The sequence below is a fragment of the Homo sapiens genome, chromosome Y, assembly GCF_000001405.40.
Source record: "Homo sapiens chromosome Y, GRCh38.p14 Primary Assembly".
Classification (NCBI taxonomy): domain Eukaryota; kingdom Metazoa; phylum Chordata; class Mammalia; order Primates; family Hominidae; genus Homo; species Homo sapiens.
In genome coordinates, this window is record NC_000024.10 from 11,674,124 (window position 1) to 11,690,189 (window position 16,066).

The 16,066-nt window shown below is 37.8% G+C and overlaps 7 annotated features.

Annotated features, from left to right (window-relative positions):
• Positions 6,033–6,606: an enhancer, noted in NCBI's record as "OCT4-NANOG hESC enhancer chrY:13800862-13801435 (GRCh37/hg19 assembly coordinates)". NCBI's record gives its function as "activates a minimal SCP1, AML or CMV promoter by ChIP-STARR-seq in primed H9 embryonic stem cells {active_cell/tissue: H9 hESC(primed)}" and the evidence as "EXISTENCE:reporter gene assay evidence [ECO:0000049][PMID:30033119]".
• Positions 7,150–7,748: an enhancer, noted in NCBI's record as "OCT4-NANOG hESC enhancer chrY:13801979-13802577 (GRCh37/hg19 assembly coordinates)". NCBI's record gives its function as "activates a minimal SCP1, AML or CMV promoter by ChIP-STARR-seq in naive H9 embryonic stem cells {active_cell/tissue: H9 hESC(naive)}" and the evidence as "EXISTENCE:reporter gene assay evidence [ECO:0000049][PMID:30033119]".
• Positions 7,805–8,684: an enhancer, noted in NCBI's record as "OCT4-NANOG hESC enhancer chrY:13802634-13803513 (GRCh37/hg19 assembly coordinates)". NCBI's record gives its function as "activates a minimal SCP1, AML or CMV promoter by ChIP-STARR-seq in naive H9 embryonic stem cells {active_cell/tissue: H9 hESC(naive)}" and the evidence as "EXISTENCE:reporter gene assay evidence [ECO:0000049][PMID:30033119]".
• Positions 9,697–10,271: an enhancer, noted in NCBI's record as "OCT4-NANOG hESC enhancer chrY:13804526-13805100 (GRCh37/hg19 assembly coordinates)". NCBI's record gives its function as "activates a minimal SCP1, AML or CMV promoter by ChIP-STARR-seq in naive H9 embryonic stem cells {active_cell/tissue: H9 hESC(naive)}" and the evidence as "EXISTENCE:reporter gene assay evidence [ECO:0000049][PMID:30033119]".
• Positions 13,210–14,159: an enhancer, noted in NCBI's record as "OCT4-NANOG hESC enhancer chrY:13808039-13808988 (GRCh37/hg19 assembly coordinates)". NCBI's record gives its function as "activates a minimal SCP1, AML or CMV promoter by ChIP-STARR-seq in naive H9 embryonic stem cells {active_cell/tissue: H9 hESC(naive)}" and the evidence as "EXISTENCE:reporter gene assay evidence [ECO:0000049][PMID:30033119]".
• Positions 14,544–15,119: an enhancer, noted in NCBI's record as "OCT4-NANOG hESC enhancer chrY:13809373-13809948 (GRCh37/hg19 assembly coordinates)". NCBI's record gives its function as "activates a minimal SCP1, AML or CMV promoter by ChIP-STARR-seq in naive H9 embryonic stem cells {active_cell/tissue: H9 hESC(naive)}" and the evidence as "EXISTENCE:reporter gene assay evidence [ECO:0000049][PMID:30033119]".
• Positions 15,120–15,694: an enhancer, noted in NCBI's record as "OCT4-NANOG hESC enhancer chrY:13809949-13810523 (GRCh37/hg19 assembly coordinates)". NCBI's record gives its function as "activates a minimal SCP1, AML or CMV promoter by ChIP-STARR-seq in naive H9 embryonic stem cells {active_cell/tissue: H9 hESC(naive)}" and the evidence as "EXISTENCE:reporter gene assay evidence [ECO:0000049][PMID:30033119]".

A 16,066-nucleotide genomic window follows, 5' to 3' on the forward strand; every position in this document is an offset into this window, starting at 1 on the left:
AGGAATGAAGCGAAATGAAATGGAATGGAATTGAAAGGAAAGAATGCATTGGAATGGTGTGAAATGGATTCGAATTGAATGGAATTGAATGGAATGAAATAGAATGCAATCGACTGGAATGGAATTGACACTAATGGAATGGGCTGGAAAAATTTGAATCGAACGGTTTGGAATAGAACAAAAAGGAATGGAATGGAATGGAACAGTATGGAGTAGAATGGAATGGAGTCGAATGGAATGGAACCAAAAACCATGGAATTGAATGCAATCAAAAGGATTAGAAAAATATGGATGTTAATGGAAAGATATCGAATGGAAAGGAATGGAATAGAATAGACCCAGATGCAATGGACTGGAATGGAAAGGTATCAAATGGAGTGGACTGGAGTGGAATGGACACGAATGAAATGGAAATGAAAGGAATTGAATGGAATGGAAAGCAATGGAATGGAATGGAATGGAATAAAATAGAAAGGAATAGAATGGAATAGAATCAGATGGAACGGAATGGAATTCAATAGAGTCGAATGGAATAGAATCGAATGCAATGGCATCAAATGAAATGGAATCGAATGGAATGGACACTAATGGAATAGCAACGAATGGAATGGTATCGAATGGAATGGAATGGACGCAAATTAATGGACTCGAATAGAATGGACTCAAACAGAATTGACTCAAAAGGAATGGTTTCGAATGGAATTTATTCGAATAGAATGGAATGGAATGGAATTCAATAGTATGGAATGGATTCGAATGGAATGGAATCGAATGGAATGGGCAGGATTTGAATGGACTGGAAAAGAGCGGACACGAATGTAATGGATTGCAATGTAATTGATTCAAATGGATGCAATCGAATGGCATGTAATCAAATGGAATAGAATGGAATGGAACGGAATGGAATGGAATGGAATTGAAAGGACTCAAATATAATGGACCTCAATGGAATGGACTCAAATAGAATGGACTCTGAACGAATGGTCTCAAATGGAATTCATTCAAATAGATTCGAATTGAATTGAATGAAAGAGTTTGTAATGGAATCGAATGGAATGGAATCTACTGGAGCAGAAAGGAATGGACTGGAATAGAATGGACTCGAATGTAATTGATTGTAATGTAATAGATTCAAATGGAATGGAAACTAATGAAACATAATCAAATGGAAAGGAATGGAAAGCAATGGAATGGAATAGAATGGAATGCAATAGACTGGAAAAGAGTGGAATCTAGAGGAATGGAATCGAATGGAATGGAATTGACTGGAACTAAATGGAAATGAATGGATTGGAATGGAATGGAATGGAATGGAGTGGAATGAAACATACTCGAATAGAATGGAACATACCCGAATGGAATGGAGTCAAATGAAGTGGAATCGAATGGAATGGAATTGAATAGAATGGAAATGAATGAAATAGAAAGGAAAAGAATGGAATGGAAGGTAAGGGAAAGATATCGAATGCAATGCAATGGCACATAATGGACTCAAACGGAATGGACTGGAATGGGGCAGACTCGAATGGAATCCACTGGAGTGGAATGGACTCGAATGGAATGGAAACGAATTTAATGGAATGGAATGGAAGGGAAAGGAATAGAATGGAGTGGATTCAGAGAGAAAGGAATGGAATGGAATGCATGTAAATGGAACAGAATCGAATGGAATGGAAAGTAATGGAATGGAATGGACTCGAATGGAATGGACTCGAAAGGAATAAAATCAAATGAAATGGCATCGAATGGAATAGAATTTAATGGAATGGACACAAATGACATGGAATCAAATGGAAAGGACTCTAATAGAATGGAATTGAAAGAAATGGTCTCAAATGAAATTTATGTGATTAGAATGGAATCGAATGAAATTAAATAGTATGGAAGGGAATCGAATGGAAAGGAATTGACTAAAATGGACTGGAATAAAACAGAGTCGAATTCAATGAATTGAAACGTCATTGACTCGAATAGAAAGGAATCGAATGGAATGGAAATGAACAGAATGGACTGGAATGGAATGGACAGGAATGGAACGGACTCTAATGGAATGGATTGCAATGTAATTGATTCGAATGGAATGGAAATGATTGGAATGTAATCCAACTGATAGGAATGGAAATCAATGGAATGGAAGAGAAGGCAATGCAATGGAATGGAATGGAGTCGAATCAACTGGAATGGAATTGAATGGAATGGAATTGAATGGAATGGAATCGAATGGAATGGACTGGAATGGAATGGAATTCAACGGAATGGACTGGAACAAAATGGAATGGAACAGATTGGAATCAAAAGGAACGGAATAGAATGGAATAGAATGGACTCGAATGGAATGCAGTCAAATGGAATGGAATCGAATGGAATGGAACTGAATGGAATTGAAAGGAATGGAATGGAATAGAGTACAATGTAAAGATATCGAATGGAAGGGAATGGAATGGAATGGACTCGAATGCAATGGACTGGAATGGACAGGAAAGGAATGGACTGGATTGGAAAGGATTTGAAGGGAATGTGCTAGAGTGGAACGGACTCGAATGGAATGGAAACGAATGGAATGGAATGAAATGGAATGGAATGGAATGGAAAGGAATAGCCTGGAATGAAATGGGATGGAAAGCAATTGAATGGAATGGAATGGAGTCGAATGGAATAAAATCGAATGGAATGGCATCGAATGGAATGGAGTGGAATGGAATGGACTCGAATGGAATGGACCCGAATGGAATAGAATAGAATGGAATGCAATCGAATTGAATGGAATGGAATGGATTGGAATGGACCCAAAGATTATGGGCTTGAAAGGAATGGACTCAAATAGAATGGACTCAAAAAGAATGGTCTGGAATCGAATTTATTCGAATAGAACTCAATCGAATGGAATGAAATAGTATGGAATGTGATCGAATGGAATGGAATCGAAATGTATGGACCAGAATAGAATGGAATGGAATAGATTGGACTCGAAATTAATGGATTGCAATGTGATTGATTCGAATGGAATGGAATCGAATGGAAAGTAAACAAATGAAAAGGAATGCAATTCAAAGGAATGGAATAGAATGGAATGCAATGGAATGGAATGGAATGGACTGGAATCGATGGGAATGGAGTCAAATGGAAAGGTATCAAATGGAATGGAATCGAATGGAATTGACTCGAATGGAATGGACTTGGAAAAAAAGGAATCAAATGGATTGGAATCGAATTGGAAGGAAGGAAATGGAATGGAATGGAATGGAACTGAATGGAATGGAGTCGAATGGAGTGGGTTCGAATGGAATGGAATCAAATGGAATGCAGTTGAATGGAATGGAATGGAGTATAATGGGAAAGATATCGAATGGAATGGAATGGAATGGACTCGAATGGAATGCACTGGAATGGAATGGATTAGAATGGAATGGACTGTATTGGAATTGACTCGAATGTAATGGACTGGAGTGGAATAGACTCGAATGGATTGGAAACCACTGGAATGGAATGCAAGGAAATATAATGGAATGGAATCAGATAGAATGAAATGGAATGTAATGGAGTCGAATTAAATAGAATCTAATGGAATGGCATCAAATGGAATGGAATGAAATGGAATAGAGTGTAATGGACTCGAATGGAATGGATTTGAATGGAATGGAAAAGAATGGAATGCCATCGAATGGATTGGAATGGAATGGACCCAAATGTAATGGACTCAAATGGAATGGACTCAAATTGAATGGACTTGAAAGGAATGGGCTCGAATGGAATTCATTCGAATAGAATTGAATCGAAAGGAATGCAGTAGTATTTAATGGAATTGAATAGAATGGAATCGCATGGAATGGACCACAATGGAATGGACTGGAATAGAGCAGACTCGAATATAATGGATGGAATGTAAAGCAAAGGAATGCAATCAAATGGAATGGAATGGAAACCAATGGAAGGCAGTAGAATGCAATGCAATGGAATGGAGGGGAATCATGTGGAATGGAATCGAAAGGGATGGAATTGAATGGAATGGACTTGAATGGAATGTACTCGAATGGAATGGACTGAAACAAAAAGGTTTTGAACGGATTGGATTCAAACGGAATGGAATGGAGTGGAATGGATTGGAATGGAATAGAGTGGAATGGTGTCAAATGGAATGGAACCGAATGGAATGCAATCGATGGAATGGAATTGATGGAATCGAAAGGAATAGAGTAGAATGGATTGCAAAAGAAAGTTATTGAACAGAATGGAATTGAATGGAATGGACTGGAATGGACTCAAATGGAATGAACGGGAGTGGAATGGACTTGAATGGAATGGGCTGGAGTGGAATGCACTCTAATGAAATTGAAACGAATGGAAAGGAATAGACTGGAATGGAATGGGATGGAAGGGAATTAATGGAATGAAATGGAATGTAATGGAATGGAATGGAATGGAATTTAACGGAATGGAATGGAGTCGAATGGAAGAAAATCAAATGGAATGACATCGAATGGAATGGAATGGAATTGACTCGAATGGAACGGACTTGAAACGAATAGAAATGAAAGGAATGGCTTCGAATGGAATGGAATTGAATTAAATGGAATGGAATGTACCCATATGTAATGGACTCGAATGGAATGGACTCAAATAGAATGGACTCAAAAGGAATGGGCGAGAATGGAATTTATCCGAATAGAATGGAATCGAATAGAATTAAATAATATTGAATGGAATCGAACGGAATGGATTCAAATTGAATGGACCAGAATGGAATGGACCGGAATAGAATGGACTCGCACTTTATGGACTGCAATGTGATACATTCGAATGTAATAGAAACGAATGGAATGTAATGAAATGGAATGGAATGCAATACAAAGGAATGGAAGAGAATGGAATGAAAGGTAATGGAAAAGAACGGAGGGGAATCGAGAGGAATGGAACCTAATGCAATAGAATCGAAAGGAATGGAATCGAACTGAATGGCTTCGAATGGAATGGACTTGAGACAAAGTGGAATCGAACAGATTGAAAACTAACGGAATGCCATGAAATGTTATGGAATGGAATGGACTCGAAAGGAATGGAGTCAAATGGAATGGAATTGAATGGAATGTAGTTGAATGGAGTGGAATTGAATGGAATGGAATTCAATGGATCGGAGTGCAATGGAAAGATACAGAATGCAATGGAATGGAATGCAATAGAATGGACTCGAATGGAATGGACAAGAATGGAATGGACAGTAGTGGAATGGACTCGAATGGAATGTTCTGGAGTGGAATGGACTCAAATAGAAAGGAATCGAATGGAATGCAAAGGAAAGAATTATAATTTAATGGAAACAGATGGAACGGAATGGAATGTAATGGAGTCAAAAGGAATTAAACTAATGTAATGGCATCAAATGGAATGGAATGTAGAGGAGAGGAATGGACTCGAATGGAATGGATTCTAATGAAATAGAATAGAATGCAATGCCATTGAACGGATTGGAAGGGAATGGAATGGAATGGAATCAAATGCAATGGAGTCAAATGGATTGCACTCAAATAGAATGGACTTCAAAGGAATTTGCTCGAAAGGAATTCATCCGAATAGAATCGAATCGAATGAAATGCTGTACTTTTAATAGAATGGAATGGAGTCGAATGGAATGGAACGAAATGGAATGGACTGGAATAGAGCGGACTCGAATGTAATAGATTGCAATGAAATTGATTTGAATGGAATGGAATCGAATGGCATGTTATCCAATGGAAGGGAATGGAAAGCAATGGAACACAATAGAACACAATGCAATGGAATGGAATTGAGTGGAATCGGGTGGAATGGAATAGAATGGAATGGAATTGAATGCTATGGAATCGAATGGAATGGAATAGAATGGAATGGAATAGAAAGGGATGGACTGGAACAAAATGGATTGGAACAGATTGGAATCGAATGGAGTGGAATTGCGTGGAATGCAATGGAATGGACTAGAATGGAATGAAGTCGAATGGAATAGAATTGTATGGAATGCAATCAAATGGGATGGAATTGAATGGAATCGAAAGGAATTGAATGGAATACAGTGAAATGGAAGTTATTGAACAGAATGGAATGGAATGAAATCGCACGGAATGGACTGGAATAAAAAGGACTCGAAAGGAATGGACTGCAGTGGAATGGACTCGAAAGGAATAGAAAAGGAATGGAATGGAATGGAATGCAATGGAATGAAATGGATAGTAATAGAATGGAGTGGAATTGGATAGAACGGAATGGAATTGAATGGAGTCGAATGGAATAGAATCAAATGGAATGGCATCGAATGGAATGGAATGGAATGGAATGGAATGGAATGGAATGGAATGGAATGGAATGGAATGAACTCGAATGGAATGGATTCGAATGGAATAGAATAGAATGGAATGAAATCGAATATAATGAAGTGGAATTGCATGTAACCGAATGGAATGGACCCAAATATAATGGACTCAAATGCAATGGACTCAAATAGAATGGACTCGAAAGGAATGGTATCGAATGGAATTTATTCTAATCGAAAGGAATCAAATGGAATGACATAGTATAGAATGGAATGGAGTGGAATGGAATGGACTGGAATAGAAAGGACTCGAATGTAATGGAATGCAATTTGATTGATTCGAATGGAATGGAAGCGAATGGAATGTAATCAAATGGAATGGAATGGAATACAAAGGAATGGAATAGAATGGAATGCAGTGTAATGGAACGGAATGGAGTGGAATCGAGTGGAATGGAATTGAATGGAAAGGATTTGAATGGAATGGACTTGGGACAAGGTGGATTCAAATGGATTGGAATAGAACGGAACGGAATGAAATGGTTGGGAATGGAATGGACACGAAGGGAATGGAGTCAAATGGAATGGAATCAAATAGAATGAAGTTGAATGGAATGGAATTTAATGGAATGGACCTCAATGGAAGGATATCAAATAGAATGGAATGGAAAGGAATGGATTCGAATATAATGGACTGGAATGGAATGGACTCGAATGGAATGAACAAGGGTGGAATCGACCCAAATGGAATGGAATGGAGTGGAATGGACTCGAATGGAATGGAAACAAATGGAATGGAATGGAAAAGAATATAATTGAATGGAATCAGATGGAACGGAAAGGAATGTAATGGAGCCGAAAGAAGTAGAATCGAAACGAATGGCATCAAATGGAATTGAATGGAATGGAATTTACTCGAATGGAATGGATTCTCATATAATATAGTCGAGTGGAATGGCATTGAATGGAACGGAATGCAATGGAATGGAATGGAATGGACCCACCTGTAATGGACTCCAATGGAATGTAATCCAACAGAATGGACTCGAACGGAATGGGAATGAATGGAATTCTTTTGTGTAGAATCGAATCGAATGGAATGCAATAGTATTGAATGAAATCGAATGGAATGGAATTGAATGGAAAGGAATCGAATGGAATGGACCAGAATGCAATGGACTGGAATAAAGTGGACACAAATGTAATGAAATGCAAAGTAATAGATTCAAAGGAATGGAATTGAATGGAATGGAAATGAATGGAATGGCATCTAATGGAATGGAATCAAATGAAATGGAATGGAATGGAATCGAATGCAACGTAATTGAATGGAATGAAACGGAATGGAATAGACTGGAATGGAGGGGACATGAATGTAATGAATTGCAATGTAATAGATTCAAAGGAAAGGAAACGAATGGAATGGAAATGAAAGCAATAGCATCGAACTGAATATAAAGAAATGGACCCAAATGTAATGGACTCTAAATGAATGGAATCTAATAGAATGGACACGGAAGGAATGGTCTCGAATGGCGTTTATTCAAATAGACTGGAATCGCAGGGAGTGCAATAGTATGGAATGGAATCGAATGGAATGGACTAGAATAGAACGGACTCAAATGTAGTGCATTGCAATGTAATTGATTCGAATAGACTGGAATCGAATGGAATATAATCAAATGGAAAGGAATGGAATGCAATGGAATAGAATACAATGGAATGCAATGGAATGGAAAGGAGTGGAATCGAGTAGAATGGAATGGAATGGAATGGAATGGAATGGAATGGAATAGAATGGAATGGAAATGGAAGGAATGGAATGGAATGGAATGCAGTCAAATGGAATAGAGTTGAATGGAATGGCTTCGAATGGAATGGAATGGAATGCAATGGAATGGAATGGAATGCAATGGAATGGAATGGACTGCAGTCAAATGGAATGGACTCCAAAGGAATAGAATCGAATGGAATGGTATCGAATGGAATGGAATGGAATGGAATGGAATTGACCCAAATGTAATGGACTCGAAAGGAATGGACTCAAATAGAAAAGACTCGAAAGGGACGGTCTCGAATGGAATTTACTCAAATACAATGGAATCGAATGGAATGCAAAAGTATGGAATGGATTCGAATGGAAAGGAATCGAATGGAATGGACCAGAATGGAATGGACTGGAATAGAAAGGACTCGAATGGAATGGATTGCAAAGTAATTGACTCAACTGTAATAGAATCGAATTGAATGTATTCAAAAGGAGTGGAATGGAATGCAATGGAATGGAATACAATGGAATGCAAACTCATGGAACGGAGTGGAATCTAGTGGAATGGAATCGAATGGATTGGAATCGTATGGAATGGACTGGAATGGAATAGACTCGAATGGACTGGACTGGAATGAAACTGAATCGAACGGATTGCAATCGAATGGAAATGAATAGAATGGAATGGAATCGAATAGAATGGAGTCGAGTGGAATGGAATTGAATTGAATTAGTCGAATAAAATGGAATTGAATTTAATTAGTCGAATAAAATGGAATTGAATGGAATCCAAAAGAATAGCATTGAATGGAGTCTAATGGAAAGATATTAAATTGAATGGAATAGAGTGGACTCGAATGGAATGGACTGCAAAGGAATAGACTCTAATGGAAGGGACTGGAGTGGAATGGACACGAATGTAACAGAAACGCATGGAATGGACTAGAAGGGAATGGATTTGGATAGAAAGGAATGAAATGGAATGGACTCAAATGGAATAGAATGGAATGAAATGACTTCGAATGGAATGGAATGGAATTGAATCGAATGGAATGGACCTGAAAAGAATAGAATACAATGGAATGGTATTGAATTGAATGGAATGGAATGGCATGGAATGGACACAAATGTAATGGACTCGAATGGAATGGACTGAAATAGAATGGACTCGAAAGGAAAGGTGTCGAATGGAATTTATTTGAATAGAATTGAATCGAATGGAATGCAACAGTATGCAATGGGATCGAATTGAATGGAATCGAATGCAATAGAACAGAACGGAATGGACTGGAATAGAACGGACTCCAATGTAATGGATTGCAATGTAATTGATTCGAATTGAATGGAATCTAATGGACTGTAATCAATTAGAATGCAATGGAATGAAATGGAAAGGAATAAAGTGGAATGCAATGTTATGGAACGGAGTGGAATCGAGTGCAATGGAATCGAATGGAATGGAATCAAATGGAATGTACTGGAATGGAATGGACTGCAATGTAATGGAAGGAAAAAATGGAATCGAACAGATTGGAACCGAACGGAACGGAATGGAATGGAAGGGACAAAAATGGAATGGAGTCGAATGGAATGGAATCAAATGGAATGGATTGGAATTGAGTGGAAACGAAAGGAATAGAATGGAATGGAGTGTAACGGAAATATATCGAATGGAATGGAATGGAGTGGAATCGAATGTAATGGAATTGAATGGATTGGAGGAATCAGATGGAACGGAATGGAATGGGGTGGATTCTGATGGAATAGAATCGAACGGAATGGCATCAAATGGAATGGAATGGACTCGAATGAAATGGACTCGAATTGAATAAAATCAATTGGAATAGCATCAAATTGAATGGAATGGAATTTAGTGGAATGGAATGGAATTGAATGGACTCAAATGTAATGGACTCGTATGGAATGGAATCAAATAGAATAGACTCAAAAGGAATGGTCTCGAATGGAATTTATTCGAATAGAATGTAATCGAATGGATTGCAATAGTATGGAATGGAATCCAATGGAAAGTTATTGAAGGGAATGGAACGGAATGGAATGGACTGGAATAGAATTTAATGAATTGCAATGTAATTAATTCTAATGGAATGAAATCGAATGGAATGTAATCAACTAGAATGGAATGGAATGCAACGGAATGGAACAGAGTTGAGTGGAATGGAGTTGAATGGAATGGAATCGAATGGAATGGACTCCAATGGAATGGACTGGAACAAAATGGAATAATACGGATTGCAATAGAACAGAACGGAATTTAATGGAATGGAATGTATTGGAATAGACCTGAATGGATTGTTGTCGACTGTAATGGAACCAAATGGAATGGAATCAAATGGAATGGAAGTGAATGGAATCGAAAGGAATAGAATGGAATGGAATGTAACGGAAATATATCTAAAGGAATAGAATGGAATAGTCTCAAATGGAATGAACTGGAATGGAATGGACTCAAATGGCATGGACAGGAGTGGTATGGACTCGAATGGAATGGAAATGAATGGAATGGAATGGAATGGAATGGAATGGAATGGAATGGAATGGAATGGAATGCAATGGAATGGAAAGGATTACCATGGAATGGAATCGGATGAAAAGAAACTGAACGGAATGGAGTTGAATGGAATGGCATCAAATGGAATGGAATGGAATGACTCGAATGGAATGGACTCGAATGGAGTAGAATTCTGTGGAATACAATCGCGTGGAATGGAAGGGAATGGAATGGTATGGACCCAAATGGAATGGAATCGAATAGAATGGACTCAAATACAATGCACTCGAAAGGAAAGGTCTCAAATGGAATTTATTCGAAACGAATGGAATCAAATGGAATGCAATAGTATGGAATGGAATCGAAAGGAATTGACAAGGATGGAATGGACTAGAACAGAACGTACACGAATGTAATGGATTGCAATATAATAGAAATAGAAAGGAACCGTATGGAAGGTAATCAAATGAAATGGAATGGAATGCAATGGAATGGAATACAATGGAATGCAATGGAATGGAACAAAGTGGAATTGAGTGGAAGGAAATCGAATGGAATGGAATGGAGTGAACTCGAAATAAATGCACCAATGGAATGGAAGGGAATGGAATGGAATTGAATGGAATTGAAAAGAATAGAATGGAATGGACAGTAATGAAAGATACCGAATGGAATGGAATATAATCAAATGGAATGGACTGTAATATAATTGACTCGAATGGAATGGGCTTTAGGGAATTGACTCAAATGGAATGGAAACGAATGGAATGGAATGGAAATGAAAGGAAAAGAATGTAATGAAATCGGATGGAATGGAATGGAATGGAATGTAGTCGAATGGAATAGAATCCAATGGAATGCAATAGTATGGATTGGAATCGAATGGAATGGAATTGAATGGAATGGAGCAGAATTGAATGGACTGGAATAGAAAGGACTCATATGTAATGGATTGCAATGTAATCGATTTGAAAGAATGGAATCCAACTTAATTAAATCAAATGGAATGGAATGGAATGCAGTGCAGTGGAATAGAATAGAATGCAATGGAATAGAATGGAGTGGAATCGAAGGGAATGGAATCGAATGCAGTGGAATTGAATGGAATGGAGTCGAATGGAATGGACTGGAACAAAACGGAAATTAACGGATTGGAATTGAACGGAAAAGAATGGAATGGAATGGAATGGAATGGAATGGAATGGAATAGAATGGAGTCTAATGCAATAGAATCGAATGCAATGGCATCGAATTTTATGGAATGGAATGGACTCGAATGGAATGGACTCAAATAGAATGGCATTGAATGGAATGGGATGGAATGGAATGGAAAGGAATGGTAGCGAATGGACACAAATGAAATCGACTCAAATGGAATGGACTCAAATAGAATGAAATCGAAAGCAAAGGTCTCGAAAGGAAATTATTCTAATAGAATGGAATCGAATGGAGTGCAAAAGTATGGAAAGGATTCGAAGGGAATGGAATCGAATGGAATTGACCAGAATGGAATGGACTGGAATAGTACGGAGTCGAATATAATGGATTGTAACGTGATTGACATGAATGGAATGGAATCAAATGGAATGTAATCAAATGCAACATAATGGAATGCAACGGAATGATGTCGAATGGAATGGACAAAAAAGAAATGTACTACTGAAAAAACGGAATTGAACGGATTGGAATTGAATATAATCGAATGGAATTGAATGGAATCGAATCGAATGGAATAGAGTGTCATGGATAGATATCGAATGGATTAGAATGGAATGGAATGGACTCAAATGGAATGGACTGGAATTGAATAGACAGGAATGGAATGCACTGGAATGAAATGGAGTCGAATGTAATGGAATGGAGTGGAATGGACTCGAATGGAAGGGAAACAAATGGAGTGGAATGGAATGCAATGCAATGGAATGGAAAGAATTGAATAGAATGGAAACGGATGGAATGGAATGGACAGGAATGGAGTCAAATGGAATAGAATAGAATGGAATGGCATGAAATGGAATGGAAGGGAATGGAAAGGAATGGACTCAAATGGAATAAATATGAATGGAATATAATCGAATGTAAAGGCATCAAACGGAATTGAATAGAATAGCATGGAATGGAATGGACGCGAATGTAATGGACTCAAATGGATTGGATTCAAATACGACGGATTTGAAAGGAATGGTCTTGAAGGGAATTCATTCGAATAGTATCGAATCGAATGGAATGCAATACTAAGGAATGGAATATAATGGAATGGAATCCAATGGAATGGAGTGAAAAGGAATGGACTGGAATAGAATGGACTCGAATGTAATGGATTACAAGCAATTGATTTCAATGGAATGGAGTCACATGGAATGGAATCAAATGGAATGGAATGGAATGCAAAGTAATGGAATAGGATGGAAAGCAATTTAATGGAACGGAGTGGAATCGAGTGGAACGGAATCTAAAGGAATGGAATCGAAAGAAAAGGAATCGAATGGAATGTACTGGAATGGAATGAACAGGAAAACCATGGAATCGAAAGGATTGGAATCAAACGGAACAGAATGTAATTGATTGGAATGAACTCGCATGGAATGGAGTCGAATTGAATGGAATAGAATGGAATGGAATCAAATGGATTGGAATTGAATGCAATCAAAGGGAATAGAATGGAATGGAGTGGAATGGAAAGATAATGAAAGGAGTGGAATTCAATGGAATGGACTCAAATGGAATGGACTCGAATAGAAAGGACTGGAATGGAATGGAATCGAATGTAATAGAAACTAATGGTTTGGAATTGAATGAAATGGAATGGAATGGAATGGAATCAAATGAAATGGAATGGAATGGAATGGAAAGAAATACAATGGAATGGAATCTGATGGAATGGAATGGAATGAAATGGAGACGAATGGGATAGCATCGAATGCAATGGAATGGAATGGAGTGGAATGGAATAGAATTGAATGGACTCTAATGGAATAGAATCAAATGGAATGGCACCGAATGGAATGGAATGGGAAGGAATGGAATTGACCCAAATGTAATAGACTCGAAATGAATGGATTCAAGTGGAATGGACTCAAAAGGAATGGTCTCGTAAGGAATATATTCCAATAGATTGGAATAGAATGGAATGCAATAGAATGGAATGGAATCAAACGGAATGGAATCGAATGGAATGGAATGGAATGGAATTGACTGGAATAGAATGAATTCAAATGTAATGGATTGCAAAGTAATTGATTCGAATGCCATGGAATCAAATGGAATTATTCAAAAGGAATGGAATGGAATACAATGGAATGGAATGGAATGGAATGGAATGGAATGGAATGGAATGGAATGGAATGCAATGGAATGGAATGGAATGGAATGGAATGGAATGGAATGCAATGGAATGGAACATAGAGGACTCATGTGGAATAGAACAGAATGGAATGGAATCGAATAGAATGGACTGGTAAGGAATGTATTAAAATGGAATTCACTAGAACAAAATCGAATCAATCGGATTGGAATTGAATAGAACAGAATGGAATGGAATGGAATTGAATGGAATGGAATGGAATGGAATGGATTCGATTGGAATGGAATATAATGGAATGGAACCGAATGGAATTGAACCAAAACAAACGAAGTGAATGGAATCGAAAGGGATAGAATGGAATGGAGTGTAATGAAAAGATATCGAATGGAAACGAATGGAATTGAATGGACTCGAAGGGAATGGATTGGAATGGAATGGACTGGAGTTGAATGGACTCGAATGGAATGGAAAGGAGTGCCATGGAATGCAATGAAATGCAATGGAAAGGAATAGAATGGAATGGAATGGAATGAAACTGAATGGAATGGAATGTAGTCGAATATAATAGAATCAAATGGAATGGCCTTGAATATAATGAAATGCAATGGAATGGAATCGAAAGGAATGGACTCAAATGGAGTAGAATTGAATGGAATGGCTTCGAATGGAATGGCATGTAATGGAACGGACCCAAATGTAATGGAATCGAACAGAACAGACACAAATAGAATGGACTGAAAAGGAATGGTCTCGAATGGAATTTTTTCGATTAGAATGGAATTGAATGCAATGCAATAGTGTGGAATGGAATCGAATGGAATCGACAGGAATGGAATGGAATGGAATGGAATGGAATGGAATGGAATGGAATGGAATGGACGAGAATGTAATGGATTGCAATGCAATTGGTTTGAATGGAATGAAATCCAATGGAATGTAATCAAATGGAATGAAAAGGTGTACAATGGAATGGAATAGAATGGAATGCAATGGAATGGAATGGAGTGGAATCGAGTGGAATGGAATCGAATATAAAGGAATTGAATGTAATGGAATCGAATGGAATGGACTGGAGTGGAATGGACTCGAAAGGAATGAAGTGGAACAAAATGGAATCGAACAGATTGGACTTGAATGGAATGGAATGGAATGGACTCGAATGGAATGGAGTCGAATGGAAAGGAATCGAAAGGAATGGAATGAAGTTGAAAGGGATAGAATGGAATCAAAATGAATAGAATGGAATGGAGAGTAATGGAAAGATATCAAATGGAATGGACTGGAATGGAATGGAATCGAACGGAATGCACTGGAATGGAATGGACTCGAATGGAATCGGTTGGAGTGGAATGGACTCAAATGGAATGGAAACGTTTGTAATGGAATGGAAAGGAATAGAATGGAATGTAATCGGATGGAATGGAATGGAATGGAATGGAGTCAAATGGAATAGAATCGAATGGAATGGCCTCGAAAAGAATGGATAGGAATGGAATGGACTCGAATGGATTGGACTCGAATGGAATAGATTAGAATTGAATGACATCAAATGGAATGGAATGGAACCAAATGTAATGGACTCGAATGGAATGGATTCAAATTGAAAGGACTCAAAAGGAATGGTCCCGAAAGGAATTTATTCGAATAGAATGGAATCAAACAGAATGCAGTAGTAGGGAATGGAATTGAATTCAAAGGTATCGAAAAGAATGGACCGGAATGGAACAGTCAAGTATAGAACAGAATCGAATGTAATGGATTGCAATGCAATTGGTTCAAATGGAACGGTATCGAATGGAATGTAATCAAATGGAATGGAAAGGAATTGAATGGATTACAATGGAACGGAACGGAGTGGAATCGAGGGTAATGGAATCTAATTTAATGGAATCGAATAGAATGGACTGGAATGGAATGGACACGAAAGGAATGGACTGGAAGAAAATGGAATTGAACGGATTGGAATCGAGCGGAATGGAAAGTAATGGAATGGATTAGAATGGAGTCGAATGGAATGGAGTTGAATGGAATGGACCCGAATGGAATGGAATCAAAGGAAATGGACTGGAGTGGAATAGACACGAAAGGAATGGAAACGAATGCAATGGAATGGAATGGAAGGGAATGCAATGGAAAGGAATGGAATGGAATGGAATGGAATGGAATGGAATGGAATAGATTGGAAAGGAATGCAATGGA